Source organism: Homo sapiens, chromosome 11 (genome assembly GCF_000001405.40).
Source record: "Homo sapiens chromosome 11, GRCh38.p14 Primary Assembly".
In the NCBI taxonomy this organism is placed as follows: domain Eukaryota; kingdom Metazoa; phylum Chordata; class Mammalia; order Primates; family Hominidae; genus Homo; species Homo sapiens.
This window is the reverse complement of record NC_000011.10, coordinates 5268345-5285153: the sequence shown is the minus strand read 5'-3', so window position 1 is coordinate 5285153 and position 16809 is coordinate 5268345. Positions and strand designations below refer to the sequence as shown.

The 16809-nt window shown below is 40.2% G+C and overlaps 1 protein-coding gene across 1 annotated transcript, besides 113 other annotated features; it reads left to right on the top strand.

Annotated features, from left to right (window-relative positions):
- Positions 1-640: part of a DNaseI hypersensitive site, noted in NCBI's record as "5'HS3, also known as HS3a, HSS3, HSIII or -14.8 hypersensitive site; predominantly erythroid; the nucleotide coordinates are approximate for this feature", that runs on past the window's edge. NCBI's record gives its function as "necessary for high-level beta-globin gene expression and for position-independent and copy number-dependent activity of the LCR in transgenic mice" and the evidence as "EXISTENCE:in vivo cleavage assay evidence [ECO:0001075][PMID:2370867, PMID:3879975, PMID:3480506, PMID:3690667]".
- Positions 1-898: part of an enhancer, noted in NCBI's record as "1.9 kb HindIII HS3 enhancer fragment", that runs on past the window's edge. NCBI's record gives its function as "chromatin domain-opening activity in stably transfected K562 cells; synergizes with the HS2 enhancer to allow stage-specific expression of the gamma- and beta-globin genes in transfected HEL and K562 cells {active_cell/tissue: HEL | K562}" and the evidence as "EXISTENCE:reporter gene assay evidence [ECO:0000049][PMID:8662652, PMID:10196210]".
- Positions 1-1401: part of an enhancer, noted in NCBI's record as "MfeI-HpaI HS3 fragment in the HS3ALL construct", that runs on past the window's edge. NCBI's record gives its function as "enhances beta-globin gene expression in adult bone marrow of transgenic mice {active_cell/tissue: bone marrow(adult)}" and the evidence as "EXISTENCE:transgenic organism evidence [ECO:0001131][PMID:14636653]".
- Positions 1-1884: part of an enhancer, noted in NCBI's record as "2.3 kb SpeI-HindIII HS3 fragment deleted in the beta-YAC LCR transgene", that runs on past the window's edge. NCBI's record gives its function as "enhances epsilon-globin expression in the embryonic yolk sac of transgenic mice {active_cell/tissue: yolk sac(embryonic)}" and the evidence as "EXISTENCE:transgenic organism evidence [ECO:0001131][PMID:8692864]".
- Positions 1-4670: part of an enhancer, noted in NCBI's record as "MfeI-HpaI HS2-HS3 enhancer fragment in the HS23ALL construct", that runs on past the window's edge. NCBI's record gives its function as "regulates beta-globin gene spatial and temporal expression in transgenic mice; synergistic regulation by HS2 and HS3 combined" and the evidence as "EXISTENCE:transgenic organism evidence [ECO:0001131][PMID:14636653]".
- Positions 1-14363: part of a locus control region, noted in NCBI's record as "21.5 kb ClaI-BglII fragment from -1 kb to -22.5 kb; includes 5'HS1-5'HS5", that runs on past the window's edge. NCBI's record gives its function as "regulates developmental expression of the beta-globin genes" and the evidence as "EXISTENCE:transgenic organism evidence [ECO:0001131][PMID:3690667]".
- Positions 1-15229: part of a biological region, named in NCBI's record as "beta-globin locus control region", that runs on past the window's edge. NCBI's record gives its function as "regulatory_interactions: HBB | HBBP1 | HBD | HBE1 | HBG1 | HBG2 | LOC107133510 | LOC110006319".
- Positions 74-668: an enhancer, noted in NCBI's record as "PstI-AvaII HS3 fragment". NCBI's record gives its function as "enhances transcription of the beta-globin gene in transfected K562 cells {active_cell/tissue: K562}" and the evidence as "EXISTENCE:reporter gene assay evidence [ECO:0000049][PMID:12582237]".
- Positions 91-592: a transcriptional cis regulatory region, noted in NCBI's record as "range from the chr11.791.38 to chr11.791.32 gRNAs in the HS3 region targeted for Mosaic-seq CRISPR perturbation". NCBI's record gives its function as "positively regulates HBE1 gene expression in K562 erythroleukemia cells {active_cell/tissue: K562}" and the evidence as "EXISTENCE:mutant phenotype evidence [ECO:0000015][PMID:28369033]".
- Positions 147-176: a protein binding site, noted in NCBI's record as "FP3 oligonucleotide; strong YY1 binding". NCBI's record gives its function as "binds YY1 in K562 erythroleukemia cells {active_cell/tissue: K562}" and the evidence as "EXISTENCE:protein binding evidence [ECO:0000024][PMID:9129054]".
- Positions 147-176: a protein binding site, noted in NCBI's record as "FP3 oligonucleotide; weak GATA-1 binding". NCBI's record gives its function as "binds GATA-1 in K562 erythroleukemia cells {active_cell/tissue: K562}" and the evidence as "EXISTENCE:protein binding evidence [ECO:0000024][PMID:9129054]".
- Positions 226-255: a protein binding site, noted in NCBI's record as "FP4 oligonucleotide; weak Oct-1 binding". NCBI's record gives its function as "binds Oct-1 in K562 erythroleukemia cells {active_cell/tissue: K562}" and the evidence as "EXISTENCE:protein binding evidence [ECO:0000024][PMID:9129054]".
- Positions 226-255: a protein binding site, noted in NCBI's record as "FP4 oligonucleotide; moderate NF-E2 binding". NCBI's record gives its function as "binds NF-E2 in K562 erythroleukemia cells {active_cell/tissue: K562}" and the evidence as "EXISTENCE:protein binding evidence [ECO:0000024][PMID:9129054]".
- Positions 226-255: a protein binding site, noted in NCBI's record as "FP4 oligonucleotide; weak GATA-1 binding". NCBI's record gives its function as "binds GATA-1 in K562 erythroleukemia cells {active_cell/tissue: K562}" and the evidence as "EXISTENCE:protein binding evidence [ECO:0000024][PMID:9129054]".
- Positions 260-460: a transcriptional cis regulatory region, noted in NCBI's record as "TAD1.SE1.HS3 sgRNA1-sgRNA3 range targeted for Mosaic-seq CRISPR perturbation". NCBI's record gives its function as "positively regulates HBG1 and HGB2 gene expression in K562 erythroleukemia cells {active_cell/tissue: K562}" and the evidence as "EXISTENCE:mutant phenotype evidence [ECO:0000015][PMID:28416141]".
- Positions 273-311: a protein binding site, noted in NCBI's record as "FP6 oligonucleotide; weak YY1 binding". NCBI's record gives its function as "binds YY1 in K562 erythroleukemia cells {active_cell/tissue: K562}" and the evidence as "EXISTENCE:protein binding evidence [ECO:0000024][PMID:9129054]".
- Positions 276-309: a protein binding site, noted in NCBI's record as "footprint 1 (FP1) or FP6 oligonucleotide; moderate GATA-1-binding". NCBI's record gives its function as "binds GATA-1 in K562 and MEL erythroleukemia cells {active_cell/tissue: K562 | MEL}" and the evidence as "EXISTENCE:protein binding evidence [ECO:0000024][PMID:8458325, PMID:9129054]".
- Positions 276-498: a transcriptional cis regulatory region, noted in NCBI's record as "0.2 kb Fnu4H1-HphI HS3 core (HS3c) fragment deleted in the beta-YAC transgene". NCBI's record gives its function as "necessary for expression of the epsilon-globin gene in embryonic cells and gamma-globin gene in definitive cells of transgenic mice; necessary for histone acetylation across the beta-globin locus and for RNA polymerase II recruitment to the LCR" and the evidence as "EXISTENCE:transgenic organism evidence [ECO:0001131][PMID:9632803, PMID:16055715]".
- Positions 302-340: a protein binding site, noted in NCBI's record as "footprint 2 (FP2) Sp1-binding oligonucleotide". NCBI's record gives its function as "binds Sp1 in murine erythroleukemia cells {active_cell/tissue: MEL}" and the evidence as "EXISTENCE:protein binding evidence [ECO:0000024][PMID:8458325]".
- Positions 302-340: a protein binding site, noted in NCBI's record as "footprint 3 (FP3) TEF-2-binding oligonucleotide". NCBI's record gives its function as "binds TEF-2 in murine erythroleukemia cells {active_cell/tissue: MEL}" and the evidence as "EXISTENCE:protein binding evidence [ECO:0000024][PMID:8458325]".
- Positions 331-361: a protein binding site, noted in NCBI's record as "FP7 oligonucleotide; weak YY1 binding". NCBI's record gives its function as "binds YY1 in K562 erythroleukemia cells {active_cell/tissue: K562}" and the evidence as "EXISTENCE:protein binding evidence [ECO:0000024][PMID:9129054]".
- Positions 334-373: a protein binding site, noted in NCBI's record as "footprint 3 (FP3) or FP7 oligonucleotide; strong GATA-1-binding". NCBI's record gives its function as "binds GATA-1 in K562 and MEL erythroleukemia cells {active_cell/tissue: K562 | MEL}" and the evidence as "EXISTENCE:protein binding evidence [ECO:0000024][PMID:8458325, PMID:9129054]".
- Positions 371-850: an enhancer, noted in NCBI's record as "0.8 kb PvuII-PstI HS3 fragment". NCBI's record gives its function as "modest enhancer of the epsilon-globin promoter in transfected K562 cells {active_cell/tissue: K562}" and the evidence as "EXISTENCE:reporter gene assay evidence [ECO:0000049][PMID:8662652]".
- Positions 372-405: a protein binding site, noted in NCBI's record as "FP8 oligonucleotide; weak YY1 binding". NCBI's record gives its function as "binds YY1 in K562 erythroleukemia cells {active_cell/tissue: K562}" and the evidence as "EXISTENCE:protein binding evidence [ECO:0000024][PMID:9129054]".
- Positions 372-405: a protein binding site, noted in NCBI's record as "FP8 oligonucleotide; weak GATA-1 binding". NCBI's record gives its function as "binds GATA-1 in K562 erythroleukemia cells {active_cell/tissue: K562}" and the evidence as "EXISTENCE:protein binding evidence [ECO:0000024][PMID:9129054]".
- Positions 399-429: a protein binding site, noted in NCBI's record as "FP9 oligonucleotide; strong Sp1 binding". NCBI's record gives its function as "binds Sp1 in murine erythroleukemia cells {active_cell/tissue: MEL}" and the evidence as "EXISTENCE:protein binding evidence [ECO:0000024][PMID:8458325]".
- Positions 399-429: a protein binding site, noted in NCBI's record as "FP9 oligonucleotide; strong YY1 binding". NCBI's record gives its function as "binds YY1 in K562 erythroleukemia cells {active_cell/tissue: K562}" and the evidence as "EXISTENCE:protein binding evidence [ECO:0000024][PMID:9129054]".
- Positions 412-441: a protein binding site, noted in NCBI's record as "FP10 oligonucleotide; strong YY1 binding". NCBI's record gives its function as "binds YY1 in murine erythroleukemia cells {active_cell/tissue: MEL}" and the evidence as "EXISTENCE:protein binding evidence [ECO:0000024][PMID:8458325]".
- Positions 433-457: a protein binding site, noted in NCBI's record as "FP11 oligonucleotide; strong GATA-1 binding". NCBI's record gives its function as "binds GATA-1 in K562 erythroleukemia cells {active_cell/tissue: K562}" and the evidence as "EXISTENCE:protein binding evidence [ECO:0000024][PMID:9129054]".
- Positions 433-457: a protein binding site, noted in NCBI's record as "FP11 oligonucleotide; strong YY1 binding". NCBI's record gives its function as "binds YY1 in K562 erythroleukemia cells {active_cell/tissue: K562}" and the evidence as "EXISTENCE:protein binding evidence [ECO:0000024][PMID:9129054]".
- Positions 491-520: a protein binding site, noted in NCBI's record as "FP12 oligonucleotide; weak GATA-1 binding". NCBI's record gives its function as "binds GATA-1 in K562 erythroleukemia cells {active_cell/tissue: K562}" and the evidence as "EXISTENCE:protein binding evidence [ECO:0000024][PMID:9129054]".
- Positions 491-520: a protein binding site, noted in NCBI's record as "FP12 oligonucleotide; moderate NF-E2 binding". NCBI's record gives its function as "binds NF-E2 in K562 erythroleukemia cells {active_cell/tissue: K562}" and the evidence as "EXISTENCE:protein binding evidence [ECO:0000024][PMID:9129054]".
- Positions 491-520: a protein binding site, noted in NCBI's record as "FP12 oligonucleotide; moderate Oct-1 binding". NCBI's record gives its function as "binds Oct-1 in K562 erythroleukemia cells {active_cell/tissue: K562}" and the evidence as "EXISTENCE:protein binding evidence [ECO:0000024][PMID:9129054]".
- Positions 491-520: a protein binding site, noted in NCBI's record as "FP12 oligonucleotide; strong YY1 binding". NCBI's record gives its function as "binds YY1 in murine erythroleukemia cells {active_cell/tissue: MEL}" and the evidence as "EXISTENCE:protein binding evidence [ECO:0000024][PMID:8458325]".
- Positions 618-647: a protein binding site, noted in NCBI's record as "FP13 oligonucleotide; moderate Oct-1 binding". NCBI's record gives its function as "binds Oct-1 in K562 erythroleukemia cells {active_cell/tissue: K562}" and the evidence as "EXISTENCE:protein binding evidence [ECO:0000024][PMID:9129054]".
- Positions 618-647: a protein binding site, noted in NCBI's record as "FP13 oligonucleotide; strong YY1 binding". NCBI's record gives its function as "binds YY1 in K562 erythroleukemia cells {active_cell/tissue: K562}" and the evidence as "EXISTENCE:protein binding evidence [ECO:0000024][PMID:9129054]".
- Positions 618-647: a protein binding site, noted in NCBI's record as "FP13 oligonucleotide; weak GATA-1 binding". NCBI's record gives its function as "binds GATA-1 in K562 erythroleukemia cells {active_cell/tissue: K562}" and the evidence as "EXISTENCE:protein binding evidence [ECO:0000024][PMID:9129054]".
- Positions 670-708: a protein binding site, noted in NCBI's record as "FP14 oligonucleotide; strong YY1 binding". NCBI's record gives its function as "binds YY1 in K562 erythroleukemia cells {active_cell/tissue: K562}" and the evidence as "EXISTENCE:protein binding evidence [ECO:0000024][PMID:9129054]".
- Positions 798-826: a protein binding site, noted in NCBI's record as "FP15 oligonucleotide; weak Oct-1 binding". NCBI's record gives its function as "binds Oct-1 in K562 erythroleukemia cells {active_cell/tissue: K562}" and the evidence as "EXISTENCE:protein binding evidence [ECO:0000024][PMID:9129054]".
- Positions 798-826: a protein binding site, noted in NCBI's record as "FP15 oligonucleotide; strong Sp1 binding". NCBI's record gives its function as "binds Sp1 in murine erythroleukemia cells {active_cell/tissue: MEL}" and the evidence as "EXISTENCE:protein binding evidence [ECO:0000024][PMID:8458325]".
- Positions 798-826: a protein binding site, noted in NCBI's record as "FP15 oligonucleotide; strong YY1 binding". NCBI's record gives its function as "binds YY1 in K562 erythroleukemia cells {active_cell/tissue: K562}" and the evidence as "EXISTENCE:protein binding evidence [ECO:0000024][PMID:9129054]".
- Positions 891-920: a protein binding site, noted in NCBI's record as "FP16 oligonucleotide; moderate GATA-1 binding". NCBI's record gives its function as "binds GATA-1 in murine erythroleukemia cells {active_cell/tissue: MEL}" and the evidence as "EXISTENCE:protein binding evidence [ECO:0000024][PMID:8458325]".
- Positions 891-920: a protein binding site, noted in NCBI's record as "FP16 oligonucleotide; moderate Oct-1 binding". NCBI's record gives its function as "binds Oct-1 in murine erythroleukemia cells {active_cell/tissue: MEL}" and the evidence as "EXISTENCE:protein binding evidence [ECO:0000024][PMID:8458325]".
- Positions 891-920: a protein binding site, noted in NCBI's record as "FP16 oligonucleotide; strong YY1 binding". NCBI's record gives its function as "binds YY1 in K562 erythroleukemia cells {active_cell/tissue: K562}" and the evidence as "EXISTENCE:protein binding evidence [ECO:0000024][PMID:9129054]".
- Positions 1046-1075: a protein binding site, noted in NCBI's record as "FP17 oligonucleotide; strong YY1 binding". NCBI's record gives its function as "binds YY1 in K562 erythroleukemia cells {active_cell/tissue: K562}" and the evidence as "EXISTENCE:protein binding evidence [ECO:0000024][PMID:9129054]".
- Positions 1071-1103: a protein binding site, noted in NCBI's record as "FP18 oligonucleotide; weak YY1 binding". NCBI's record gives its function as "binds YY1 in K562 erythroleukemia cells {active_cell/tissue: K562}" and the evidence as "EXISTENCE:protein binding evidence [ECO:0000024][PMID:9129054]".
- Positions 1071-1103: a protein binding site, noted in NCBI's record as "FP18 oligonucleotide; strong USF binding". NCBI's record gives its function as "binds USF in K562 erythroleukemia cells {active_cell/tissue: K562}" and the evidence as "EXISTENCE:protein binding evidence [ECO:0000024][PMID:9129054]".
- Positions 1095-1690: a matrix attachment site, noted in NCBI's record as "596 bp HS3 amplicon showing matrix enrichment in non-erythroid GM00468 cell EcoRI/HindIII-digested DNA fractions". NCBI's record gives its function as "attaches to the nuclear matrix in GM00468 cells {active_cell/tissue: GM00468}" and the evidence as "EXISTENCE:fractionation evidence [ECO:0000100][PMID:12799453]".
- Positions 1141-1179: a protein binding site, noted in NCBI's record as "FP19 oligonucleotide; moderate GATA-1 binding". NCBI's record gives its function as "binds GATA-1 in K562 erythroleukemia cells {active_cell/tissue: K562}" and the evidence as "EXISTENCE:protein binding evidence [ECO:0000024][PMID:9129054]".
- Positions 1141-1179: a protein binding site, noted in NCBI's record as "FP19 oligonucleotide; weak Oct-1 binding". NCBI's record gives its function as "binds Oct-1 in K562 erythroleukemia cells {active_cell/tissue: K562}" and the evidence as "EXISTENCE:protein binding evidence [ECO:0000024][PMID:9129054]".
- Positions 1244-1273: a protein binding site, noted in NCBI's record as "FP20 oligonucleotide; strong GATA-1 binding". NCBI's record gives its function as "binds GATA-1 in K562 erythroleukemia cells {active_cell/tissue: K562}" and the evidence as "EXISTENCE:protein binding evidence [ECO:0000024][PMID:9129054]".
- Positions 1244-1273: a protein binding site, noted in NCBI's record as "FP20 oligonucleotide; weak Oct-1 binding". NCBI's record gives its function as "binds Oct-1 in K562 erythroleukemia cells {active_cell/tissue: K562}" and the evidence as "EXISTENCE:protein binding evidence [ECO:0000024][PMID:9129054]".
- Positions 1254-1285: a protein binding site, noted in NCBI's record as "FP21 oligonucleotide; strong GATA-1 binding". NCBI's record gives its function as "binds GATA-1 in K562 erythroleukemia cells {active_cell/tissue: K562}" and the evidence as "EXISTENCE:protein binding evidence [ECO:0000024][PMID:9129054]".
- Positions 1254-1285: a protein binding site, noted in NCBI's record as "FP21 oligonucleotide; strong Oct-1 binding". NCBI's record gives its function as "binds Oct-1 in K562 erythroleukemia cells {active_cell/tissue: K562}" and the evidence as "EXISTENCE:protein binding evidence [ECO:0000024][PMID:9129054]".
- Positions 1275-1300: a protein binding site, noted in NCBI's record as "FP22 oligonucleotide; moderate Oct-1 binding". NCBI's record gives its function as "binds Oct-1 in K562 erythroleukemia cells {active_cell/tissue: K562}" and the evidence as "EXISTENCE:protein binding evidence [ECO:0000024][PMID:9129054]".
- Positions 1286-1315: a protein binding site, noted in NCBI's record as "FP23 oligonucleotide; moderate Oct-1 binding". NCBI's record gives its function as "binds Oct-1 in K562 erythroleukemia cells {active_cell/tissue: K562}" and the evidence as "EXISTENCE:protein binding evidence [ECO:0000024][PMID:9129054]".
- Positions 1286-1315: a protein binding site, noted in NCBI's record as "FP23 oligonucleotide; weak GATA-1 binding". NCBI's record gives its function as "binds GATA-1 in K562 erythroleukemia cells {active_cell/tissue: K562}" and the evidence as "EXISTENCE:protein binding evidence [ECO:0000024][PMID:9129054]".
- Positions 1301-1331: a protein binding site, noted in NCBI's record as "FP24 oligonucleotide; moderate GATA-1 binding". NCBI's record gives its function as "binds GATA-1 in K562 erythroleukemia cells {active_cell/tissue: K562}" and the evidence as "EXISTENCE:protein binding evidence [ECO:0000024][PMID:9129054]".
- Positions 1301-1331: a protein binding site, noted in NCBI's record as "FP24 oligonucleotide; moderate Oct-1 binding". NCBI's record gives its function as "binds Oct-1 in K562 erythroleukemia cells {active_cell/tissue: K562}" and the evidence as "EXISTENCE:protein binding evidence [ECO:0000024][PMID:9129054]".
- Positions 1402-4670: an enhancer, noted in NCBI's record as "MfeI-MfeI HS2 fragment in the HS2ALL construct". NCBI's record gives its function as "enhances beta-globin gene expression in embyonic yolk sac, fetal liver and adult bone marrow of transgenic mice {active_cell/tissue: yolk sac(embryonic) | liver(fetal) | bone marrow(adult)}" and the evidence as "EXISTENCE:transgenic organism evidence [ECO:0001131][PMID:14636653]".
- Positions 3488-5373: an enhancer, noted in NCBI's record as "1.9 kb KpnI-PvuII HS2 enhancer fragment". NCBI's record gives its function as "acts in concert with the HS3 enhancer to allow stage-specific expression of the gamma- and beta-globin genes in transfected HEL and K562 cells; functions in globin gene switching in transgenic mice {active_cell/tissue: HEL | K562}" and the evidence as "EXISTENCE:reporter gene assay evidence [ECO:0000049][PMID:10196210]" and "EXISTENCE:transgenic organism evidence [ECO:0001131][PMID:9002975]".
- Positions 3830-3949: a sequence secondary structure, noted in NCBI's record as "intrinsic bending region; epsilonB-17 DNA bend center flanking HS2". NCBI's record gives its function as "nucleosome phasing at HS2" and the evidence as "EXISTENCE:gel electrophoresis evidence [ECO:0000337][PMID:9837721]".
- Positions 4012-4036: a protein binding site, noted in NCBI's record as "HS2 M1-MAR SATB1 binding site". NCBI's record gives its function as "enhances transcriptional activity of the epsilon promoter" and the evidence as "EXISTENCE:protein binding evidence [ECO:0000024][PMID:15618465]".
- Positions 4137-4606: a DNaseI hypersensitive site, noted in NCBI's record as "5'HS2, also known as HS2, HSS2, HSII, -10.8 or -10.9 hypersensitive site; not exclusively erythroid; the nucleotide coordinates are approximate for this feature". NCBI's record gives its function as "necessary for high-level beta-globin gene expression and for position-independent and copy number-dependent activity of the LCR in transgenic mice" and the evidence as "EXISTENCE:in vivo cleavage assay evidence [ECO:0001075][PMID:2370867, PMID:3879975, PMID:3480506, PMID:3690667]".
- Positions 4210-4584: an enhancer, noted in NCBI's record as "0.4 kb HindIII-XbaI HS2 fragment". NCBI's record gives its function as "enhances transcription of the epsilon- and beta-globin genes in transfected K562 cells; EKLF-dependent activity {active_cell/tissue: K562(+EKLF)}" and the evidence as "EXISTENCE:reporter gene assay evidence [ECO:0000049][PMID:8662652, PMID:11158302, PMID:12582237]".
- Positions 4215-4942: an enhancer, noted in NCBI's record as "BglII-HindIII HS2 enhancer fragment". NCBI's record gives its function as "enhances transcriptional activity of beta-globin genes" and the evidence as "EXISTENCE:reporter gene assay evidence [ECO:0000049][PMID:15979088]".
- Positions 4215-6134: an enhancer, noted in NCBI's record as "1.9 kb HindIII HS2 enhancer fragment in the HS2-Ggamma-Agamma-delta-beta construct". NCBI's record gives its function as "intermediate rate globin gene switching in transgenic mice" and the evidence as "EXISTENCE:transgenic organism evidence [ECO:0001131][PMID:9002975, PMID:8692864]".
- Positions 4235-4584: a transcriptional cis regulatory region, noted in NCBI's record as "range of 21 sgRNAs (Cr1-Cr21) in the HS2 region targeted for CRISPR/dCas9-KRAB perturbation". NCBI's record gives its function as "positively regulates HBE1, HBG1, HBG2, HBD, HBBP1 and HBD gene expression in K562 erythroleukemia cells {active_cell/tissue: K562}" and the evidence as "EXISTENCE:mutant phenotype evidence [ECO:0000015][PMID:26501517]".
- Positions 4257-4584: a transcriptional cis regulatory region, noted in NCBI's record as "range from HS2 gRNA 1 to HS2 gRNA 4 that also includes additional chr11.790 gRNAs in the HS2 region targeted for Mosaic-seq CRISPR perturbation". NCBI's record gives its function as "positively regulates HBE1 gene expression in K562 erythroleukemia cells {active_cell/tissue: K562}" and the evidence as "EXISTENCE:mutant phenotype evidence [ECO:0000015][PMID:28369033]".
- Positions 4273-4459: a transcriptional cis regulatory region, noted in NCBI's record as "TAD1.SE1.HS2 sgRNA1-sgRNA3 range targeted for Mosaic-seq CRISPR perturbation". NCBI's record gives its function as "positively regulates HBG1 and HGB2 gene expression in K562 erythroleukemia cells {active_cell/tissue: K562}" and the evidence as "EXISTENCE:mutant phenotype evidence [ECO:0000015][PMID:28416141]".
- Positions 4325-4330: a transcriptional cis regulatory region, noted in NCBI's record as "HS2 SP1 site deleted in the deltaSP1 transgene". NCBI's record gives its function as "required for maximal HS2 enhancer activity in transgenic mice" and the evidence as "EXISTENCE:transgenic organism evidence [ECO:0001131][PMID:8152905]".
- Positions 4325-4330: a protein binding site, noted in NCBI's record as "HS2 SP1 footprint". NCBI's record gives its function as "HS2 enhancer activity" and the evidence as "EXISTENCE:nuclease protection assay evidence [ECO:0001106][PMID:2000371]".
- Positions 4384-4391: a protein binding site, noted in NCBI's record as "HS2 AP1 footprint". NCBI's record gives its function as "HS2 enhancer activity" and the evidence as "EXISTENCE:nuclease protection assay evidence [ECO:0001106][PMID:2000371, PMID:8995271]".
- Positions 4384-4401: a protein binding site, noted in NCBI's record as "HS2 AP1 site pair bound by NF-E2". NCBI's record gives its function as "forms HS2 by disruption of nucleosome structure" and the evidence as "EXISTENCE:protein binding evidence [ECO:0000024][PMID:1902783, PMID:8816476, PMID:2235483]".
- Positions 4385-4402: a transcriptional cis regulatory region, noted in NCBI's record as "adjacent HS2 AP1/NFE2 sites deleted in the deltaAP1x2 (or NF-E2x2) transgene, or mutated in NF-E2 mutant enhancer constructs". NCBI's record gives its function as "required for maximal HS2 enhancer activity in transgenic mice and in induced K562 cells {active_cell/tissue: K562(induced)}" and the evidence as "EXISTENCE:reporter gene assay evidence [ECO:0000049][PMID:2235483]" and "EXISTENCE:transgenic organism evidence [ECO:0001131][PMID:8152905, PMID:2000371]".
- Positions 4394-4401: a protein binding site, noted in NCBI's record as "HS2 AP1 footprint". NCBI's record gives its function as "HS2 enhancer activity" and the evidence as "EXISTENCE:nuclease protection assay evidence [ECO:0001106][PMID:2000371, PMID:8995271]".
- Positions 4407-4412: a transcriptional cis regulatory region, noted in NCBI's record as "HS2 NF-E5 site mutated in the NF-E5S transgene". NCBI's record gives its function as "weakly contribues to HS2 enhancer activity in transgenic mice" and the evidence as "EXISTENCE:transgenic organism evidence [ECO:0001131][PMID:8152905]".
- Positions 4409-4438: a protein binding site, noted in NCBI's record as "8711 E Box fragment that binds the bHLH transcription factor USF; weak binding compared to the 8790 E Box fragment". NCBI's record gives the evidence for it as "EXISTENCE:protein binding evidence [ECO:0000024][PMID:8943307]".
- Positions 4409-4438: a protein binding site, noted in NCBI's record as "HS2NF5 binding fragment; HS2 CBF1 binding site". NCBI's record gives its function as "important for optimal enhancer activity of HS2" and the evidence as "EXISTENCE:protein binding evidence [ECO:0000024][PMID:8943307, PMID:9727046]".
- Positions 4418-4435: a protein binding site, noted in NCBI's record as "8701 E box probe". NCBI's record gives its function as "binds TAL1 in K562 and MEL cells {active_cell/tissue: K562 | MEL}" and the evidence as "EXISTENCE:protein binding evidence [ECO:0000024][PMID:8995271]".
- Positions 4445-4459: a protein binding site, noted in NCBI's record as "inverted GATA-1 binding motifs at HS2". NCBI's record gives its function as "necessary for activation of the epsilon-globin promoter" and the evidence as "EXISTENCE:chromatin immunoprecipitation evidence [ECO:0000226][PMID:18586828]" and "EXISTENCE:nuclease protection assay evidence [ECO:0001106][PMID:8995271]".
- Positions 4452-4461: a transcriptional cis regulatory region, noted in NCBI's record as "HS2 GATA1 site deleted in the deltaGATA1 transgene". NCBI's record gives its function as "required for maximal HS2 enhancer activity in transgenic mice" and the evidence as "EXISTENCE:transgenic organism evidence [ECO:0001131][PMID:8152905]".
- Positions 4482-4495: a protein binding site, noted in NCBI's record as "8762 E box probe". NCBI's record gives its function as "binds TAL1 in K562 and MEL cells {active_cell/tissue: K562 | MEL}" and the evidence as "EXISTENCE:protein binding evidence [ECO:0000024][PMID:8995271]".
- Positions 4482-4495: a protein binding site, noted in NCBI's record as "8762 E box probe". NCBI's record gives its function as "binds USF in K562 and MEL cells {active_cell/tissue: K562 | MEL}" and the evidence as "EXISTENCE:protein binding evidence [ECO:0000024][PMID:8995271]".
- Positions 4494-4508: a sequence secondary structure, noted in NCBI's record as "region of 5'HS2 that forms a triple helix with the beta-globin (L) tfRNA". NCBI's record gives its function as "forms a DNA-RNA triplex with a pyrimidine RNA from intron 2 of the HBB gene, resulting in attenuated transcription factor and RNA polymerase II binding to the LCR, and reduced expression of the espilon- and gamma-globin genes in transfected K562 cells, and the gamma- and beta-globin genes in transfected HUDEP-2 cells {active_cell/tissue: HUDEP-2 | K562}" and the evidence as "EXISTENCE:electrophoretic mobility shift assay evidence [ECO:0000096][PMID:30867287]".
- Positions 4504-4525: a protein binding site, noted in NCBI's record as "8790 E Box fragment that binds the bHLH transcription factor USF". NCBI's record gives the evidence for it as "EXISTENCE:protein binding evidence [ECO:0000024][PMID:8360172, PMID:8943307]".
- Positions 4516-4523: a protein binding site, noted in NCBI's record as "HS2 NF-E footprint". NCBI's record gives its function as "HS2 enhancer activity" and the evidence as "EXISTENCE:nuclease protection assay evidence [ECO:0001106][PMID:2000371]".
- Positions 4517-4526: a transcriptional cis regulatory region, noted in NCBI's record as "HS2 USF site deleted in the deltaUSF transgene". NCBI's record gives its function as "required for maximal HS2 enhancer activity in transgenic mice" and the evidence as "EXISTENCE:transgenic organism evidence [ECO:0001131][PMID:8152905]".
- Positions 4564-4574: a transcriptional cis regulatory region, noted in NCBI's record as "HS2 HSC site deleted in the deltaHSC transgene". NCBI's record gives its function as "weakly contribues to HS2 enhancer activity in transgenic mice" and the evidence as "EXISTENCE:transgenic organism evidence [ECO:0001131][PMID:8152905]".
- Positions 4627-4806: a sequence secondary structure, noted in NCBI's record as "intrinsic bending region; epsilonB-16 DNA bend center flanking HS2". NCBI's record gives its function as "nucleosome phasing at HS2" and the evidence as "EXISTENCE:gel electrophoresis evidence [ECO:0000337][PMID:9837721]".
- Positions 4727-5239: a matrix attachment site, noted in NCBI's record as "514 bp HS2 amplicon showing matrix enrichment in K562 cell EcoRI/HindIII-digested DNA fractions". NCBI's record gives the evidence for it as "EXISTENCE:fractionation evidence [ECO:0000100][PMID:12799453]".
- Positions 8658-9485: an enhancer, noted in NCBI's record as "0.8 kb NcoI-HindIII fragment deleted in the delta-5'HS1 beta-YAC transgene". NCBI's record gives its function as "enhances epsilon- and gamma-globin gene expression in embryonic and fetal stage transgenic mice" and the evidence as "EXISTENCE:deletion mutation evidence [ECO:0005510][PMID:17433733]".
- Positions 8852-9409: a DNaseI hypersensitive site, noted in NCBI's record as "5'HS1, also known as HS1, HSS1, HSI or -6.1 hypersensitive site; predominantly erythroid; the nucleotide coordinates are approximate for this feature". NCBI's record gives its function as "necesssary for position-independent and copy number-dependent activity of the LCR in transgenic mice" and the evidence as "EXISTENCE:in vivo cleavage assay evidence [ECO:0001075][PMID:2370867, PMID:3879975, PMID:3480506, PMID:3690667]".
- Positions 8901-8929: a protein binding site, noted in NCBI's record as "probe A GATA-1 binding site". NCBI's record gives the evidence for it as "EXISTENCE:protein binding evidence [ECO:0000024][PMID:9657768]".
- Positions 8998-9016: a protein binding site, noted in NCBI's record as "probe C GATA-1 binding site". NCBI's record gives the evidence for it as "EXISTENCE:protein binding evidence [ECO:0000024][PMID:9657768]".
- Positions 9017-9343: a transcriptional cis regulatory region, noted in NCBI's record as "range from the chr11.788.9 to chr11.788.4 gRNAs in the HS1 region targeted for Mosaic-seq CRISPR perturbation". NCBI's record gives its function as "positively regulates HBE1 gene expression in K562 erythroleukemia cells {active_cell/tissue: K562}" and the evidence as "EXISTENCE:mutant phenotype evidence [ECO:0000015][PMID:28369033]".
- Positions 9021-9956: an enhancer, noted in NCBI's record as "5'HS1 or HS1-3' enhancer fragment". NCBI's record gives its function as "enhancer in K562 erythroleukemia cells {active_cell/tissue: K562}" and the evidence as "EXISTENCE:reporter gene assay evidence [ECO:0000049][PMID:20231293, PMID:17548470]".
- Positions 9079-9400: a transcriptional cis regulatory region, noted in NCBI's record as "TAD1.SE1.HS1 sgRNA1-sgRNA3 range targeted for Mosaic-seq CRISPR perturbation". NCBI's record gives its function as "positively regulates HBG2 gene expression in K562 erythroleukemia cells {active_cell/tissue: K562}" and the evidence as "EXISTENCE:mutant phenotype evidence [ECO:0000015][PMID:28416141]".
- Positions 9106-9239: an enhancer, noted in NCBI's record as "5'HS1 G fragment with strongest enhancer activity". NCBI's record gives its function as "enhancer in K562 erythroleukemia cells {active_cell/tissue: K562}" and the evidence as "EXISTENCE:reporter gene assay evidence [ECO:0000049][PMID:20231293]".
- Positions 9131-9220: an enhancer, noted in NCBI's record as "5'HS1 N fragment with enhancer activity; corresponds to the combined K and L fragments". NCBI's record gives its function as "enhancer in K562 erythroleukemia cells {active_cell/tissue: K562}" and the evidence as "EXISTENCE:reporter gene assay evidence [ECO:0000049][PMID:20231293]".
- Positions 9148-9170: a protein binding site, noted in NCBI's record as "probe E Sp1/Sp3 binding site". NCBI's record gives the evidence for it as "EXISTENCE:protein binding evidence [ECO:0000024][PMID:9657768]".
- Positions 9184-9202: a protein binding site, noted in NCBI's record as "L2 fragment or probe F GATA-1 binding site". NCBI's record gives its function as "necessary for efficient epsilon-globin (HBE1) gene expression" and the evidence as "EXISTENCE:protein binding evidence [ECO:0000024][PMID:20231293, PMID:9657768]".
- Positions 9225-9237: a protein binding site, noted in NCBI's record as "probe G GATA-1 binding site". NCBI's record gives the evidence for it as "EXISTENCE:protein binding evidence [ECO:0000024][PMID:9657768]".
- Positions 10173-12116: a matrix attachment site, noted in NCBI's record as "2 kb AvaII pGSE228 fragment c SAR". NCBI's record gives its function as "associates with the nuclear scaffold" and the evidence as "EXISTENCE:fractionation evidence [ECO:0000100][PMID:3208739, PMID:2559410]".
- Positions 13761-15229: a promoter, noted in NCBI's record as "+19 to -1450 p-epsilon-GLCAT construct fragment". NCBI's record gives its function as "epsilon gene (HBE1) full promoter" and the evidence as "EXISTENCE:reporter gene assay evidence [ECO:0000049][PMID:3456225, PMID:4048224]".
- Positions 14744-15211: a transcriptional cis regulatory region, noted in NCBI's record as "range from the chr11.787.32 to chr11.787.2.2 gRNAs in the HBE1 promoter region targeted for Mosaic-seq CRISPR perturbation". NCBI's record gives its function as "positively regulates HBE1 gene expression in K562 erythroleukemia cells {active_cell/tissue: K562}" and the evidence as "EXISTENCE:mutant phenotype evidence [ECO:0000015][PMID:28369033]".
- Positions 14752-15033: a silencer, noted in NCBI's record as "-182 to -467 AflII-BamHI fragment". NCBI's record gives its function as "epsilon gene (HBE1) silencer" and the evidence as "EXISTENCE:transgenic organism evidence [ECO:0001131][PMID:1737096]".
- Positions 14818-15032: a silencer. NCBI's record gives its function as "epsilon gene (HBE1) silencer" and the evidence as "EXISTENCE:reporter gene assay evidence [ECO:0000049][PMID:2748586]".
- Positions 14872-14896: a protein binding site, noted in NCBI's record as "M-epsilon MAR SATB1 binding site". NCBI's record gives its function as "enhances transcriptional activity of the epsilon promoter" and the evidence as "EXISTENCE:protein binding evidence [ECO:0000024][PMID:15618465]".
- Positions 14916-14959: a silencer, noted in NCBI's record as "-294 to -251 44 bp minimal silencer element". NCBI's record gives its function as "epsilon gene (HBE1) minimal silencer" and the evidence as "EXISTENCE:reporter gene assay evidence [ECO:0000049][PMID:1537556]".
- Positions 15033-15229: a promoter, noted in NCBI's record as "+19 to -177 p-epsilon-delta177 construct fragment lacking the silencer region". NCBI's record gives its function as "epsilon gene (HBE1) minimal promoter" and the evidence as "EXISTENCE:reporter gene assay evidence [ECO:0000049][PMID:2748586]".
- Positions 15126-15130: a CAAT signal, noted in NCBI's record as "based on paralogous and orthologous beta-globin promoter alignments". NCBI's record gives its function as "epsilon gene (HBE1) CCAAT box" and the evidence as "EXISTENCE:sequence alignment evidence [ECO:0000200][PMID:6985477]".
- Positions 15177-15183: a TATA box, noted in NCBI's record as "based on paralogous and orthologous beta-globin promoter alignments". NCBI's record gives its function as "epsilon gene (HBE1) TATA box" and the evidence as "EXISTENCE:sequence alignment evidence [ECO:0000200][PMID:6985477]".
- HBE1 (hemoglobin subunit epsilon 1) lies at positions 15209-16809 on the top strand. Its single transcript, NM_005330.4, has 3 exons — positions 15209-15355; positions 15478-15700; positions 16557-16809. The coding sequence occupies exons 1-3, from the start codon at positions 15264-15266 to the stop codon at positions 16683-16685; spliced, it is 444 nt and encodes a 147-aa protein (NP_005321.1). The 5' UTR covers positions 15209-15263; the 3' UTR covers positions 16686-16809.

The following is a 16809-nucleotide window of genomic DNA, read 5'->3' as shown; positions in this document are numbered from 1 at the left end:
AGCTCAGAAGAGTCAAGCATTTGCCTAAGGTCGGACATGTCAGAGGCAGTGCCAGACCTATGTGAGACTCTGCAGCTACTGCTCATGGGCCCTGTGCTGCACTGATGAGGAGGATCAGATGGATGGGGCAATGAAGCAAAGGAATCATTCTGTGGATAAAGGAGACAGCCATGAAGAAGTCTATGACTGTAAATTTGGGAGCAGGAGTCTCTAAGGACTTGGATTTCAAGGAATTTTGACTCAGCAAACACAAGACCCTCACGGTGACTTTGCGAGCTGGTGTGCCAGATGTGTCTATCAGAGGTTCCAGGGAGGGTGGGGTGGGGTCAGGGCTGGCCACCAGCTATCAGGGCCCAGATGGGTTATAGGCTGGCAGGCTCAGATAGGTGGTTAGGTCAGGTTGGTGGTGCTGGGTGGAGTCCATGACTCCCAGGAGCCAGGAGAGATAGACCATGAGTAGAGGGCAGACATGGGAAAGGTGGGGGAGGCACAGCATAGCAGCATTTTTCATTCTACTACTACATGGGACTGCTCCCCTATACCCCCAGCTAGGGGCAAGTGCCTTGACTCCTATGTTTTCAGGATCATCATCTATAAAGTAAGAGTAATAATTGTGTCTATCTCATAGGGTTATTATGAGGATCAAAGGAGATGCACACTCTCTGGACCAGTGGCCTAACAGTTCAGGACAGAGCTATGGGCTTCCTATGTATGGGTCAGTGGTCTCAATGTAGCAGGCAAGTTCCAGAAGATAGCATCAACCACTGTTAGAGATATACTGCCAGTCTCAGAGCCTGATGTTAATTTAGCAATGGGCTGGGACCCTCCTCCAGTAGAACCTTCTAACCAGCTGCTGCAGTCAAAGTCGAATGCAGCTGGTTAGACTTTTTTTAATGAAAGCTTAGCTTTCATTAAAGATTAAGCTCCTAAGCAGGGCACAGATGAAATTGTCTAACAGCAACTTTGCCATCTAAAAAAATCTGACTTCACTGGAAACATGGAAGCCCAAGGTTCTGAACATGAGAAATTTTTAGGAATCTGCACAGGAGTTGAGAGGGAAACAAGATGGTGAAGGGACTAGAAACCACATGAGAGACACGAGGAAATAGTGTAGATTTAGGCTGGAGGTAAATGAAAGAGAAGTGGGAATTAATACTTACTGAAATCTTTCTATATGTCAGGTGCCATTTTATGATATTTAATAATCTCATTACATATGGTAATTCTGTGAGATATGTATTATTGAACATACTATAATTAATACTAATGATAAGTAACACCTCTTGAGTACTTAGTATATGCTAGAATCAAATTTAAGTTTATCATATGAGGCCGGGCACGGTGGCTCATATATGGGATTACATGCCTGTAATCCCAGCACTTTGGGAGGCCAAGGCAATTGGATCACCTGAGGTCAGGAGTTCCAGACCAGCCTGGCCAACATGGTGAAACCCCTTCTCTACTAAAAAATACAAAAAATCAGCCAGGTGTGGTGGCACGCGTCTATAATCCCAGCTACTCAGGAGGCTGAGGCAGGAGAATCACTTGAACCCAGGAGGTGGAGGTTGCAGTGAGCTAAGATTGCACCACTGCACTCCAGCCTAGGCGACAGAGTGAGACTCCATCTCAAAAAAAAAAAAAGAAGTTTATTATATGAATTAACTTAGTTTTACTCACACCAATACTCAGAAGTAGATTATTACCTCATTTATTGATGAGGAGCCCAATGTACTTGTAGTGTAGATCAACTTATTGAAAGCACAAGCTAATAAGTAGACAATTAGTAATTAGAAGTCAGATGGTCTGAGCTCTCCTACTGTCTACATTACATGAGCTCTTATTAACTGGGGACTCGAAAATCAAAGACATGAAATAATTTGTCCAAGCTTACAGAACCACCAAGTAGTAAGGCTAGGATGTAGACCCAGTTCTGCTACCTCTGAAGACAGTGTTTTTTCCACAGCAAAACACAAACTCAGATATTGTGGATGCGAGAAATTAGAAGTAGATATTCCTGCCCTGTGGCCCTTGCTTCTTACTTTTACTTCTTGTCGATTGGAAGTTGTGGTCCAAGCCACAGTTGCAGACCATACTTCCTCAACCATAATTGCATTTCTTCAGGAAAGTTTGAGGGAGAAAAAGGTAAAGAAAAATTTAGAAACAACTTCAGAATAAAGAGATTTTCTCTTGGGTTACAGAGATTGTCATATGACAAATTATAAGCAGACACTTGAGAAAACTGAAGGCCCATGCCTGCCCAAATTACCCTTTGACCCCTTGGTCAAGCTGCAACTTTGGTTAAAGGGAGTGTTTATGTGTTATAGTGTTCATTTACTCTTCTGGTCTAACCCATTGGCTCCGTCTTCATCCTGCAGTGACCTCAGTGCCTCAGAAACATACATATGTTTGTCTAGTTTAAGTTTGTGTGAAATTCTAACTAGCGTCAAGAACTGAGGGCCCTAAACTATGCTAGGAATAGTGCTGTGGTGCTGTGATAGGTACACAAGAAATGAGAAGAAACTGCAGATTCTCTGCATCTCCCTTTGCCGGGTCTGACAACAAAGTTTCCCCAAATTTTACCAATGCAAGCCATTTCTCCATATGCTAACTACTTTAAAATCATTTGGGGCTTCACATTGTCTTTCTCATCTGTAAAAAGAATGGAAGAACTCATTCCTACAGAACTCCCTATGTCTTCCCTGATGGGCTAGAGTTCCTCTTTCTCAAAAATTAGCCATTATTGTATTTCCTTCTAAGCCAAAGCTCAGAGGTCTTGTATTGCCCAGTGACATGCACACTGGTCAAAAGTAGGCTAAGTAGAAGGGTACTTTCACAGGAACAGAGAGCAAAAGAGGTGGGTGAATGAGAGGGTAAGTGAGAAAAGACAAATGAGAAGTTACAACATGATGGCTTGTTGTCTAAATATCTCCTAGGGAATTATTGTGAGAGGTCTGAATAGTGTTGTAAAATAAGCTGAATCTGCTGCCAACATTAACAGTCAAGAAATACCTCCGAATAACTGTACCTCCAATTATTCTTTAAGGTAGCATGCAACTGTAATAGTTGCATGTATATATTTATCATAATACTGTAACAGAAAACACTTACTGAATATATACTGTGTCCCTAGTTCTTTACACAATAAACTAATCTCATCCTCATAATTCTATTAGCTAATACATATTATCATCCTATATTTCAGAGACTTCAAGAAGTTAAGCAACTTGCTCAAGATCATCTAAGAAGTAGGTGGTATTTCTGGGCTCATTTGGCCCCTCCTAATCTCTCATGGCAACATGGCTGCCTAAAGTGTTGATTGCCTTAATTCATCAGGGATGGGCTCATACTCACTGCAGACCTTAACTGGCATCCTCTTTTCTTATGTGATCTGCCTGACCCTAGTAGACTTATGAAATTTCTGATGAGAAAGGAGAGAGGAGAAAGGCAGAGCTGACTGTGATGAGTGATGAAGGTGCCTTCTCATCTGGGTACCAGTGGGGCCTCTAAGACTAAGTCACTCTGTCTCACTGTGTCTTAGCCAGTTCCTTACAGCTTGCCCTGATGGGAGATAGAGAATGGGTATCCTCCAACAAAAAAATAAATTTTCATTTCTCAAGGTCCAACTTATGTTTTCTTAATTTTTAAAAAAATCTTGACCATTCTCCACTCTCTAAAATAATCCACAGTGAGAGAAACATTCTTTTCCCCCATCCCATAAATACCTCTATTAAATATGGAAAATCTGGGCATGGTGTCTCACACCTGTAATCCCAGCACTTTGGGAGGCTGAGGTGGGTGGACTGCTTGGAGCTCAGGAGTTCAAGACCATCTTGGACAACATGGTGATACCCTGCCTCTACAAAAAGTACAAAAATTAGCCTGGCATGGTGGTGTGCACCTGTAATCCCAGCTATTAGGGTGGCTGAGGCAGGAGAATTGCTTGAACCCGGGAGGCGGAGGTTGCAGTGAGCTGAGATCGTGCCACTGCACTCCAGCCTGGGGGACAGAGCACATTATAATTAACTGTTATTTTTTACTTGGACTCTTGTGGGGAATAAGATACATGTTTTATTCTTATTTATGATTCAAGCACTGAAAATAGTGTTTAGCATCCAGCAGGTGCTTCAAAACCATTTGCTGAATGATTACTATACTTTTTACAAGCTCAGCTCCCTCTATCCCTTCCAGCATCCTCATCTCTGATTAAATAAGCTTCAGTTTTTCCTTAGTTCCTGTTACATTTCTGTGTGTCTCCATTAGTGACCTCCCATAGTCCAAGCATGAGCAGTTCTGGCCAGGCCCCTGTCGGGGTCAGTGCCCCACCCCCGCCTTCTGGTTCTGTGTAACCTTCTAAGCAAACCTTCTGGCTCAAGCACAGCAATGCTGAGTCATGATGAGTCATGCTGAGGCTTAGGGTGTGTGCCCAGATGTTCTCAGCCTAGAGTGATGACTCCTATCTGGGTCCCCAGCAGGATGCTTACAGGGCAGATGGCAAAAAAAAGGAGAAGCTGACCACCTGACTAAAACTCCACCTCAAACGGCATCATAAAGAAAATGGATGCCTGAGACAGAATGTGACATATTCTAGAATATATTATTTCCTGAATATATATATATATATACACATATACGTATATATATATATATATATATATTTGTTGTTATCAATTGCCATAGAATGATTAGTTATTGTGAATCAAATATTTATCTTGCAGGTGGCCTCTATACCTAGAAGCGGCAGAATCAGGCTTTATTAATACATGTGTATAGATTTTTAGGATCTATACACATGTATTAATATGAAACAAGGATATGGAAGAGGAAGGCATGAAAACAGGAAAAGAAAACAAACCTTGTTTGCCATTTTAAGGCACCCCTGGACAGCTAGGTGGCAAAAGGCCTGTGCTGTTAGAGGACACATGCTCACATACGGGGTCAGATCTGACTTGGGGTGCTACTGGGAAGCTCTCATCTTAAGGATACATCTCAGGCCAGTCTTGGTGCATTAGGAAGATGTAGGCAACTCTGATCCTGAGAGGAAAGAAACATTCCTCCAGGAGAGCTAAAAGGGTTCACCTGTGTGGGTAACTGTGAAGGACTACAAGAGGATGAAAAACAATGACAGACAGACATAATGCTTGTGGGAGAAAAAACAGGAGGTCAAGGGGATAGAGAAGGCTTCCAGAAGAATGGCTTTGAAGCTGGCTTCTGTAGGAGTTCACAGTGGCAAAGATGTTTCAGAAATGTGACATGACTTAAGGAACTATACAAAAAGGAACAAATTTAAGGAGAGGCAGATAAATTAGTTCAACAGACATGCAAGGAATTTTCAGATGAATGTTATGTCTCCACTGAGCTTCTTGAGGTTAGCAGCTGTGAGGGTTTTGCAGGCCCAGGACCCATTACAGGACCTCACGTATACTTGACACTGTTTTTTGTATTCATTTGTGAATGAATGACCTCTTGTCAGTCTACTCGGTTTCGCTGTGAATGAATGATGTCTTGTCAGCCTACTTGGTTTCGCTAAGAGCACAGAGAGAAGATTTAGTGATGCTATGTAAAAACTTCCTTTTTGGTTCAAGTGTATGTTTGTGATAGAAATGAAGACAGGCTACATGATGCATATCTAACATAAACACAAACATTAAGAAAGGAAATCAACCTGAAGAGTATTTATACAGATAACAAAATACAGAGAGTGAGTTAAATGTGTAATAACTGTGGCACAGGCTGGAATATGAGCCATTTAAATCACAAATTAATTAGAAAAAAAACAGTGGGGAAAAAATTCCATGGATGGGTCTAGAAAGACTAGCATTGTTTTAGGTTGAGTGGCAGTGTTTAAAGGGTGATATCAGACTAAACTTGAAATATGTGGCTAAATAACTAGAATACTCTTTATTTTTTCGTATCATGAATAGCAGATATAGCTTGATGGCCCCATGCTTGGTTTAACATCCTTGCTGTTCCTGACATGAAATCCTTAATTTTTGACAAAGGGGCTATTCATTTTCATTTTATATTGGGCCTAGAAATTATGTAGATGGTCCTGAGGAAAAGTTTATAGCTTGTCTATTTCTCTCTCTAACATAGTTGTCAGCACAATGCCTAGGCTATAGGAAGTACTCAAAGCTTGTTAAATTGAATTCTATCCTTCTTATTCAATTCTACACATGGAGGAAAAACTCATCAGGGATGGAGGCACGCCTCTAAGGAAGGCAGGTGTGGCTCTGCAGTGTGATTGGGTACTTGCAGGACGAAGGGTGGGGTGGGAGTGGCTAACCTTCCATTCCTAGTGCAGAGGTCACAGCCTAAACATCAAATTCCTTGAGGTGCGGTGGCTCACTCCTGTAATCACAGCAGTTTGGGACGCCAAGGTGGGCAGATCACTTGAGGTCAGGAGTTGGACACCAGCCCAGCCAACATAGTGAAACCTGGTCTCTGCTTAAAAATATAAAAATTAGCTGGACGTGGTGACGGGAGCCTGTAATCCAACTACTTGGGAGGCTGAGGCAGGAGAATCGCTTGAACCGGGGAGGTGGAGTTTGCACTGAGCAGAGATCATGCCATTGCACTCCAGCCTCCAGAGCGAGACTCTGTCTAAAGAAAAACGAAAACAAACAAACAAACAAACAAACAAAACCCATCAAATTCCCTGACCGAACAGAATTCTGTCTGATTGTTCTCTGACTTATCTACCATTTTCCCTCCTTAAAGAAACTGTGAACTTCCTTCAGCTAGAGGGGCCTGGCTCAGAAGCCTCTGGTCAGCATCCAAGAAATACTTGATGTCACTTTGGCTAAAGGTATGATGTGTAGACAAGCTCCAGAGATGGTTTCTCATTTCCATATCCACCCACCCAGCTTTCCAATTTTAAAGCCAATTCTGAGGTAGAGACTGTGATGAACAAACACCTTGACAAAATTCAACCCAAAGACTCACTTTGCCTAGCTTCAAAATCCTTACTCTGACATATACTCACAGCCAGAAATTAGCATGCACTAGAGTGTGCATGAGTGCAACACACACACACACCAATTCCATATTCTCTGTCAGAAAATCCTGTTGGTTTTTCGTGAAAGGATGTTTTCAGAGGCTGACCCCTTGCCTTCACCTCCAATGCTACCACTCTGGTCTAAGTCACTGTCACCACCACCTAAATTATAGCTGTTGACTCATAACAATCTTCCTGCTTCTACCACTGCCCCACTACAATTTCTTCCCAATATACTATCCAAATTAGTCTTTTCAAAATGTAAGTCATATATGGTCACCTCTTTGTTCAAAGTCTTCTGATAGTTTCCTATATCATTTATAATAAAACCAAATCCTTACAATTCTCTACAATAGTTGTTCATGCATATATTATGTTTATTACAGATACATATATATAGCTCTCATATAAATAAATATATATATTTATGTGTATGTGTGTAGAGTGTTTTTTCTTACAACTCTATGATGTAGGTATTATTAGTGTCCCAAATTTTATAATTTAGGACTTCTATGATCTCATCTTTTATTCTCCCCTTCACCGAATCTCATCCTACATTGGCCTTATTGATATTCCTTGAAAATTCTAAGCATCTTACATCTTTAGGGTATTTACATTTGCCATTCCCTATGCCCTAAATATTTAATCATAGTTTCATATAAATGGGTTCCTCATCATCTATGGGTACTCTCTCAGGTGTTAACTTTATAGTGAGGACTTTCCTGCCATACTACTTAAAGTAGCGATACCCTTTCACCCTGTCCTAATCACACTCTGGCCTTCATTTCAGTTTTTTTTTTTTCTCCATAGCACCTAATCTCATTGGTATATAACATGTTTCATTTGCTTATTTAATGTCAAGCTCTTTCCACTATCAAGTCCATGAAAACAGGAACTTTATTCCTCTATTCTGTTTTTGTGCTGTATTCTTAGCAATTTTACAATTTTGAATGAATGAATGAGCAGTCAAACACATATACAACTATAATTAAAAGGATGTATGCTGACACATCCACTGCTATGCACACACAAAGAAATCAGTGGAGTAGAGCTGGAAGTGCTAAGCCTGCATAGAGCTAGTTAGCCCTCCGCAGGCAGAGCCTTGATGGGATTACTGAGTTCTAGAATTGGACTCATTTGTTTTGTAGGCTGAGATTTGCTCTTGAAAACTTGTTCTGACCAAAATAAAAGGCTCAAAAGATGAATATCGAAACCAGGGTGTTTTTTACACTGGAATTTATAACTAGAGCACTCATGTTTATGTAAGCAATTAATTGTTTCATCAGTCAGGTAAAAGTAAAGAAAAACTGTGCCAAGGCAGGTAGCCTAATGCAATATGCCACTAAAGTAAACATTATTTCATAGGTGTCAGATATGGCTTATTCATCCATCTTCATGGGAAGGATGGCCTTGGCCTGGACATCAGTGTTATGTGAGGTTCAAAACACCTCTAGGCTATAAGGCAACAGAGCTCCTTTTTTTTTTTTCTGTGCTTTCCTGGCTGTCCAAATCTCTAATGATAAGCATACTTCTATTCAATGAGAATATTCTGTAAGATTATAGTTAAGAATTGTGGGAGCCATTCCGTCTCTTATAGTTAAATTTGAGCTTCTTTTATGATCACTGTTTTTTTAATATGCTTTAAGTTCTGGGGTACATGTGCCATGGTGGTTTGCTGCACCCATCAACCCGTCATCTACATTAGGTATTTCTCCTAATGCTATCCTTCCCCTAGCCCCCCACCCCCAACAGGCCCCAGTGTGTGATGTTCCCCTCCCTGTGTCCATGGATCACTGGTTTTTTTTTGTTTTTTTTTTTTTTTTAAAGTCTCAGTTAAATTTTTGGAATGTAATTTATTTTCCTGGTATCCTAGGACTTGCAAGTTATCTGGTCACTTTAGCCCTCACGTTTTGATGATAATCACATATTTGTAAACACAACACACACACACACACACACACACATATATATATATATAAAACATATATATACATAAACACACATAACATATTTATCGGGCATTTCTGAGCAACTAATCATGCAGGACTCTCAAACACTAACCTATAGCCTTTTCTATGTATCTACTTGTGTAGAAACCAAGCGTGGGGACTGAGAAGGCAATAGCAGGAGCATTCTGACTCTCACTGCCTTTAGCTAGGCCCCTCCCTCATCACAGCTCAGCATAGTCCTGAGCTCTTATCTATATCCACACACAGTTTCTGACGCTGCCCAGCTATCACCATCCCAAGTCTAAAGAAAAAAATAATGGGTTTGCCCATCTCTGTTGATTAGAAAACAAAACAAAATAAAATAAGCCCCTAAGCTCCCAGAAAACATGACTAAACCAGCAAGAAGAAGAAAATACAATAGGTATATGAGGAGACTGGTGACACTAGTGTCTGAATGAGGCTTGAGTACAGAAAAGAGGCTCTAGCAGCATAGTGGTTTAGAGGAGATGTTTCTTTCCTTCACAGATGCCTTAGCCTCAATAAGCTTGCGGTTGTGGAAGTTTACTTTCAGAACAAACTCCTGTGGGGCTAGAATTATTGATGGCTAAAAGAAGCCCGGGGGAGGGAAAAATCATTCAGCATCCTCACCCTTAGTGACACAAAACAGAGGGGGCCTGGTTTTCCATATTTCCTCATGATGGATGATCTCGTTAATGAAGGTGGTCTGACGAGATCATTGCTTCTTCCATTTAAGCCTTGCTCACTTGCCAATCCTCAGTTTTAACCTTCTCCAGAGAAATACACATTTTTTATTCAGGAAACATACTATGTTATAGTTTCAATACTAAATAATCAAAGTACTGAAGATAGCATGCATAGGCAAGAAAAAGTCCTTAGCTTTATGTTGCTGTTGTTTCAGAATTTAAAAAAGATCACCAAGTCAAGGACTTCTCAGTTCTAGCACTAGAGGTGGAATCTTAGCATATAATCAGAGGTTTTTCAAAATTTCTAGACATAAGATTCAAAGCCCTGCACTTAAAATAGTCTCATTTGAATTAACTCTTTATATAAATTGAAAGCACATTCTGAACTACTTCAGAGTATTGTTTTATTTCTATGTTCTTAGTTCATAAATACATTAGGCAATGCAATTTAATTAAAAAAACCCAAGAATTTCTTAGAATTTTAATCATGAAAATAAATGAAGGCATCTTTACTTACTCAAGGTCCCAAAAGGTCAAAGAAACCAGGAAAGTAAAGCTATATTTCAGCGGAAAATGGGATATTTATGAGTTTTCTAAGTTGACAGACTCAAGTTTTAACCTTCAGTGCCCATCATGTAGGAAAGTGTGGCATAACTGGCTGATTCTGGCTTTCTACTCCTTTTTCCCATTAAAGATCCCTCCTGCTTAATTAACATTCACAAGTAACTCTGGTTGTACTTTAGGCACAGTGGCTCCCGAGGTCAGTCACACAATAGGATGTCTGTGCTCCAAGTTGCCAGAGAGAGAGATTACTCTTGAGAATGAGCCTCAGCCCTGGCTCAAACTCACCTGCAAACTTCGTGAGAGATGAGGCAGAGGTACACTACGAAAGCAACAGTTAGAAGCTAAATGATGAGAACACATGGACTCATAGAGGGAAACAACGCATACTGGGGCCTATCAGAGGGTGGAGGGTGAGAGAAGGAGAGGATCAGGAAAAATCACTAATGGATGCTAAGCGTAATACCTGAGTGATGAGATCATCTATACAACAAACCCCCTTGACATTCATTTATCTATGTAACAAACCTGCACATCCTGTACATGTACCCCTGAACTTAAAATAAAAGTTGAAAACAAGAAAGCAACAGTTTGAACACTTGTTATGGTCTATTCTCTCATTCTTTACAATTACACTAGAAAATAGCCACAGGCTTCCTGCAAGGCAGCCACAGAATTTATGACTTGTGATATCCAAGTCATTCCTGGATAATGCAAAATCTAACACAAAATCTAGTAGAATCATTTGCTTACATCTATTTTTGTTCTGAGAATATAGATTTAGATACATAATGGAAGCAGAATAATTTAAAATCTGGCTAATTTAGAATCCTAAGCAGCTCTTTTCCTATCAGTGGTTTACAAGCCTTGTTTATATTTTTCCTATTTTAAAAATAAAAATAAAGTAAGTTATTTGTGGTAAAGAATATTCATTAAAGTATTTATTTCTTAGATAATACCATGAAAAACATTCAGTGAAGTGAAGGGCCTACTTTACTTAACAAGAATCTAATTTATATAATTTTTCATACTAATAGCATCTAAGAACAGTACAATATTTGACTCTTCAGGTTAAACATATGTCATAAATTAGCCAGAAAGATTTAAGAAAATATTGGATGTTTCCTTGTTTAAATTAGGCATCTTACAGTTTTTAGAATCCTGCATAGAACTTAAGAAATTACAAATGCTAAAGCAAACCCAAACAGGCAGGAATTAATCTTCATCGAATTTGGGTGTTTCTTTCTAAAAGTCCTTTATACTTAAATGTCTTAAGACATACATAGATTTTATTTTACTAATTTTAATTATATAGACAATAAATGAATATTCTTACTGATTACTTTTTCTGACTGTCTAATCTTTCTGATCTATCCTGGATGGCCATAACACTTATCTCTCTGAACTTTGGGCTTTTAATATAGGAAAGAAAAGCAATAATCCATTTTTCATGGTATCTCATATGATAAACAAATAAAATGCTTAAAAATGAGCAGGTGAAGCAATTTATCTTGAACCAACAAGCATCGAAGCAATAATGAGACTGCCCGCAGCCTACCTGACTTCTGAGTCAGGATTTATAAGCCTTGTTACTGAGACACAAACCTGGGCCTTTCAATGCTATAACCTTTCTTGAAGCTCCTCCCTACCACCTTTAGCCATAAGGAAACATGGAATGGGTCAGATCCCTGGATGCAAGCCAGGTCTGGAACCATAGGCAGTAAGGAGAGAAGAAAATGTGGGCTCTGCAACTGGCTCCGAGGGAGCAGGAGAGGATCAACCCCATACTCTGAATCTAAGAGAAGACTGGTGTCCATACTCTGAATGGGAAGAATGATGGGATTACCCATAGGGCTTGTTTTAGGGAGAAACCTGTTCTCCAAACTCTTGGCCTTGAGATACCTGGTCCTTATTCCTTGGACTTTGGCAATGTCTGACCCTCACATTCAAGTTCTGAGGAAGGGCCACTGCCTTCATACTGTGGATCTGTAGCAAATTCCCCCTGAAAACCCAGAGCTGTATCTTAATTGGTTAAAAAAAATTATATTATCTCAACGACTGTTCTTCTCTGAGTAGCCAAGCTCAGCTTGGTTCAAGCTACAAGCAGCTGAGCTGCTTTTTGTCTAGTCATTGTTCTTTTATTTCAGTGGATCAAATACGTTCTTTCCAAACCTAGGATCTTGTCTTCCTAGGCTATATATTTTGTCCCAGGAAGTCTTAATCTGGGGTCCACAGAACACTAGGGGGCTGGTGAAGTTTATAGAAAAAAAATCTGTATTTTTACTTACATGTAACTGAAATTTAGCATTTTCTTCTACTTTGAATGCAAAGGACAAACTAGAATGACATCATCAGTACCTATTGCATAGTTATAAAGAGAAACCACAGATATTTTCATACTACACCATAGGTATTGCAGATCTTTTTGTTTTTGTTTTTGTTTGAGATGGAGTTTCGCTCTTATTGCCCAGGCTGGAGTGCAGTGGCATGATTTCGGCTCACTGCAACCTCCCCTTCCTGCATTCAAGCAATTCTCCTGCCTTGGCCTCCTGAGTAGCTGGGGATTACAGGCACCTGCCACCATGCCAGTCTAATTTTTGTATTTTTAGTAGAGATGGGGTTTCGCCATGTTGGCCAGGCTGGTCTTGAACTCCTGACCTCAGATGATCTGCCCGCCTTGGCCTCCTGAAGTGCTGGGATTATAGGTGTGAGCCACCACGCCTGGCCCATTGCAGATATTTTTAATTCACATTTATCTGCATCACTACTTGGATCTTAAGGTAGCTGTAGACCCAATCCTAGATCTAATGCTTTCATAAAGAAGCAAATATAATAAATACTATACCACAAATGTAATGTTTGATGTCTGATAATGATATTTCAGTGTAATTAAACTTAGCACTCCTATGTATATTATTTGATGCAATAAAAACATATTTTTTTAGCACTTACAGTCTGCCAAACTGGCCTGTGACACAAAAAAAGTTTAGGAATTCCTGGTTTTGTCTGTGTTAGCCAATGGTTAGAATATATGCTCAGAAAGATACCATTGGTTAATAGCTAAAAGAAAATGGAGTAGAAATTCAGTGGCCTGGAATAATAACAATTTGGGCAGTCATTAAGTCAGGTGAAGACTTCTGGAATCATGGGAGAAAAGCAAGGGAGACATTCTTACTTGCCACAAGTGTTTTTTTTTTTTTTTTTTTTTATCACAAACATAAGAAAATATAATAAATAACAAAGTCAGGTTATAGAAGAGAGAAACGCTCTTAGTAAACTTGGAATATGGAATCCCCAAAGGCACTTGACTTGGGAGACAGGAGCCATACTGCTAAGTGAAAAAGACGAAGAACCTCTAGGGCCTGAACATACAGGAAATTGTAGGAACAGAAATTCCTAGATCTGGTGGGGCAAGGGGAGCCATAGGAGAAAGAAATGGTAGAAATGGATGGAGACGGAGGCAGAGGTGGGCAGATCATGAGGTCAAGAGATCGAGACCATCCTGGCAAACATGGTGAAATCCCGTCTCTACTAAAAATAAAAAAATTAGCTGGGCATGGTGGCATGCGCCTGTAGTCCCAGCTGCTCGGGAGGCTGAGGCAGGAGAATCGTTTGAACCCAGGAGGCGAAGGTTGCAGTGAGCTGAGATAGTGCCATTGCACTCCAGTCTGGCAACAGAGTGAGACTCCGTCTCAAAAAAAAAAAAAAAAGAAAGAAAGAAAAGAAAAAGAAAAAAGAAAAAATAAATGGATGTAGAACAAGCCAGAAGGAGGAACTGGGCTGGGGCAATGAGATTATGGTGATGTAAGGGACTTTTATAGAATTAACAATGCTGGAATTTGTGGAACTCTGCTTCTATTATTCCCCCAATCATTACTTCTGTCACATTGATAGTTAAATAATTTCTGTGAATTTATTCCTTGATTCTAAAATATGAGGATAATGACAATGGTATTATAAGGGCAGATTAAGTGATATAGCATGAGCAATATTCTTCAGGCACATGGATCGAATTGAATACACTGTAAATCCCAACTTCCAGTTTCAGCTCTACCAAGTAAAGAGCTAGCAAGTCATCAAAATGGGGACATACAGAAAAAAAAAAGGACACTAGAGGAATAATATACCCTGACTCCTAGCCTGATTAATATATCGATTCACTTTTTTCTCTGTTTGATGACAAATTCTGGCTTTAAATAATTTTAGGATTTTAGGCTTCTCAGCTCCCTTCCCAGTGAGAAGTATAAGCAGGACAGACAGGCAAGCAAGAAGAGAGCCCCAGGCAATACTCACAAAGTAGCCAATGTCCCCTGTGGTCATAGAGAAATGAAAAGAGAGAGGATTCTCTGGAAGCACTGGATGTAATCTTTTCTGTCTGTCCTCTCTAGGGAATCACCCCAAGGTACTGTACTTTGGGATTAAGGCTTTAGTCCCACTGTGGACTACTTGCTATTCTGTTCAGTTTCTAGAAGGAACTATGTACGGTTTTTGTCTCCCTAGAGAAACTAAGGTACAGAAGTTTTGTTTACAATGCACTCCTTAAGAGAGCTAGAACTGGGTGAGATTCTGTTTTAACAGCTTTATTTTCTTTTCCTTGGCCCTGTTTTTGTCACTGTCACCACCTTTAAGGCAAATGTTAAATGCGCTTTGGCTGAAACTTTTTTTCCTATTTTGAGATTTGCTCCTTTATATGAGGCTTTCTTGGAAAAGGAGAATGGGAGAGATGGATATCATTTTGGAAGATGATGAAGAGGGTAAAAAAGGGGACAAATGGAAATTTGTGTTGCAGATAGATGAGGAGCCAACAAAAAAGAGCCTCAGGATCCAGCACACATTATCACAAACTTAGTGTCCATCCATCACTGCTGACCCTCTCCGGACCTGACTCCACCCCTGAGGGACACAGGTCAGCCTTGACCAATGACTTTTAAGTACCATGGAGAACAGGGGGCCAGAACTTCGGCAGTAAAGAATAAAAGGCCAGACAGAGAGGCAGCAGCACATATCTGCTTCCGACACAGCTGCAATCACTAGCAAGCTCTCAGGCCTGGCATCATGGTGCATTTTACTGCTGAGGAGAAGGCTGCCGTCACTAGCCTGTGGAGCAAGATGAATGTGGAAGAGGCTGGAGGTGAAGCCTTGGGCAGGTAAGCATTGGTTCTCAATGCATGGGAATGAAGGGTGAATATTACCCTAGCAAGTTGATTGGGAAAGTCCTCAAGATTTTTTGCATCTCTAATTTTGTATCTGATATGGTGTCATTTCATAGACTCCTCGTTGTTTACCCCTGGACCCAGAGATTTTTTGACAGCTTTGGAAACCTGTCGTCTCCCTCTGCCATCCTGGGCAACCCCAAGGTCAAGGCCCATGGCAAGAAGGTGCTGACTTCCTTTGGAGATGCTATTAAAAACATGGACAACCTCAAGCCCGCCTTTGCTAAGCTGAGTGAGCTGCACTGTGACAAGCTGCATGTGGATCCTGAGAACTTCAAGGTGAGTTCAGGTGCTGGTGATGTGATTTTTTGGCTTTATATTTTGACATTAATTGAAGCTCATAATCTTATTGGAAAGACCAACAAAGATCTCAGAAATCATGGGTCGAGCTTGATGTTAGAACAGCAGACTTCTAGTGAGCATAACCAAAACTTACATGATTCAGAACTAGTGACAGTAAAGGACTACTAACAGCCTGAATTGGCTTAACTTTTCAGGAAATCTTGCCAGAACTTGATGTGTTTATCCCAGAGAATTGTATTATAGAATTGTAGACTTGTGAAAGAAGAATGAAATTTGGCTTTTGGTAGATGAAAGTCCATTTCAAGGAAATAGAAATGCCTTATTTTATGTGGGTCATGATAATTGAGGTTTAGAAAGAGATTTTTGCAAAAAAAATAAAAGATTTGCTCAAAGAAAAATAAGACACATTTTCTAAAATATGTTAAATTTCCCATCAGTATTGTGACCAAGTGAAGGCTTGTTTCCGAATTTGTTGGGGATTTTAAACTCCCGCTGAGAACTCTTGCAGCACTCACATTCTACATTTACAAAAATTAGACAATTGCTTAAAGAAAAACAGGGAGAGAGGGAACCCAATAATACTGGTAAAATGGGGAAGGGGGTGAGGGTGTAGGTAGGTAGAATGTTGAATGTAGGGCTCATAGAATAAAATTGAACCTAAGCTCATCTGAATTTTTTGGGTGGGCACAAACCTTGGAACAGTTTGAGGTCAGGGTTGTCTAGGAATGTAGGTATAAAGCCGTTTTTGTTTGTTTGTTTGTTTTTTCATCAAGTTGTTTTCGGAAACTTCTACTCAACATGCCTGTGTGTTATTTTGTCTTTTGCCTAACAGCTCCTGGGTAACGTGATGGTGATTATTCTGGCTACTCACTTTGGCAAGGAGTTCACCCCTGAAGTGCAGGCTGCCTGGCAGAAGCTGGTGTCTGCTGTCGCCATTGCCCTGGCCCATAAGTACCACTGAGTTCTCTTCCAGTTTGCAGGTGTTCCTGTGACCCTGACACCCTCCTTCTGCACATGGGGACTGGGCTTGGCCTTGAGAGAAAGCCTTCTGTTTAATAAAGTACATTTTCTTCAGTAATCAAAAA

Excerpts from the sequence above, each read along its gene's own strand:
- HBE1 (NM_005330.4), top strand. The coding sequence starts at position 15,264 with ATGGTGCATTTTACTGCTGAGGAGAAGGCTGCCGTCACTAGCCTGTGG. Across the intron at positions 15,356-15,477 it reads GGAGGTGAAGCCTTGGGCAG|ACTCCTCGTTGTTTACCCCT; the intron begins GTAAGCATTGGT and ends GTCATTTCATAG. Across the intron at positions 15,701-16,556 it reads TGGATCCTGAGAACTTCAAG|CTCCTGGGTAACGTGATGGT; the intron begins GTGAGTTCAGGT and ends TTTGCCTAACAG.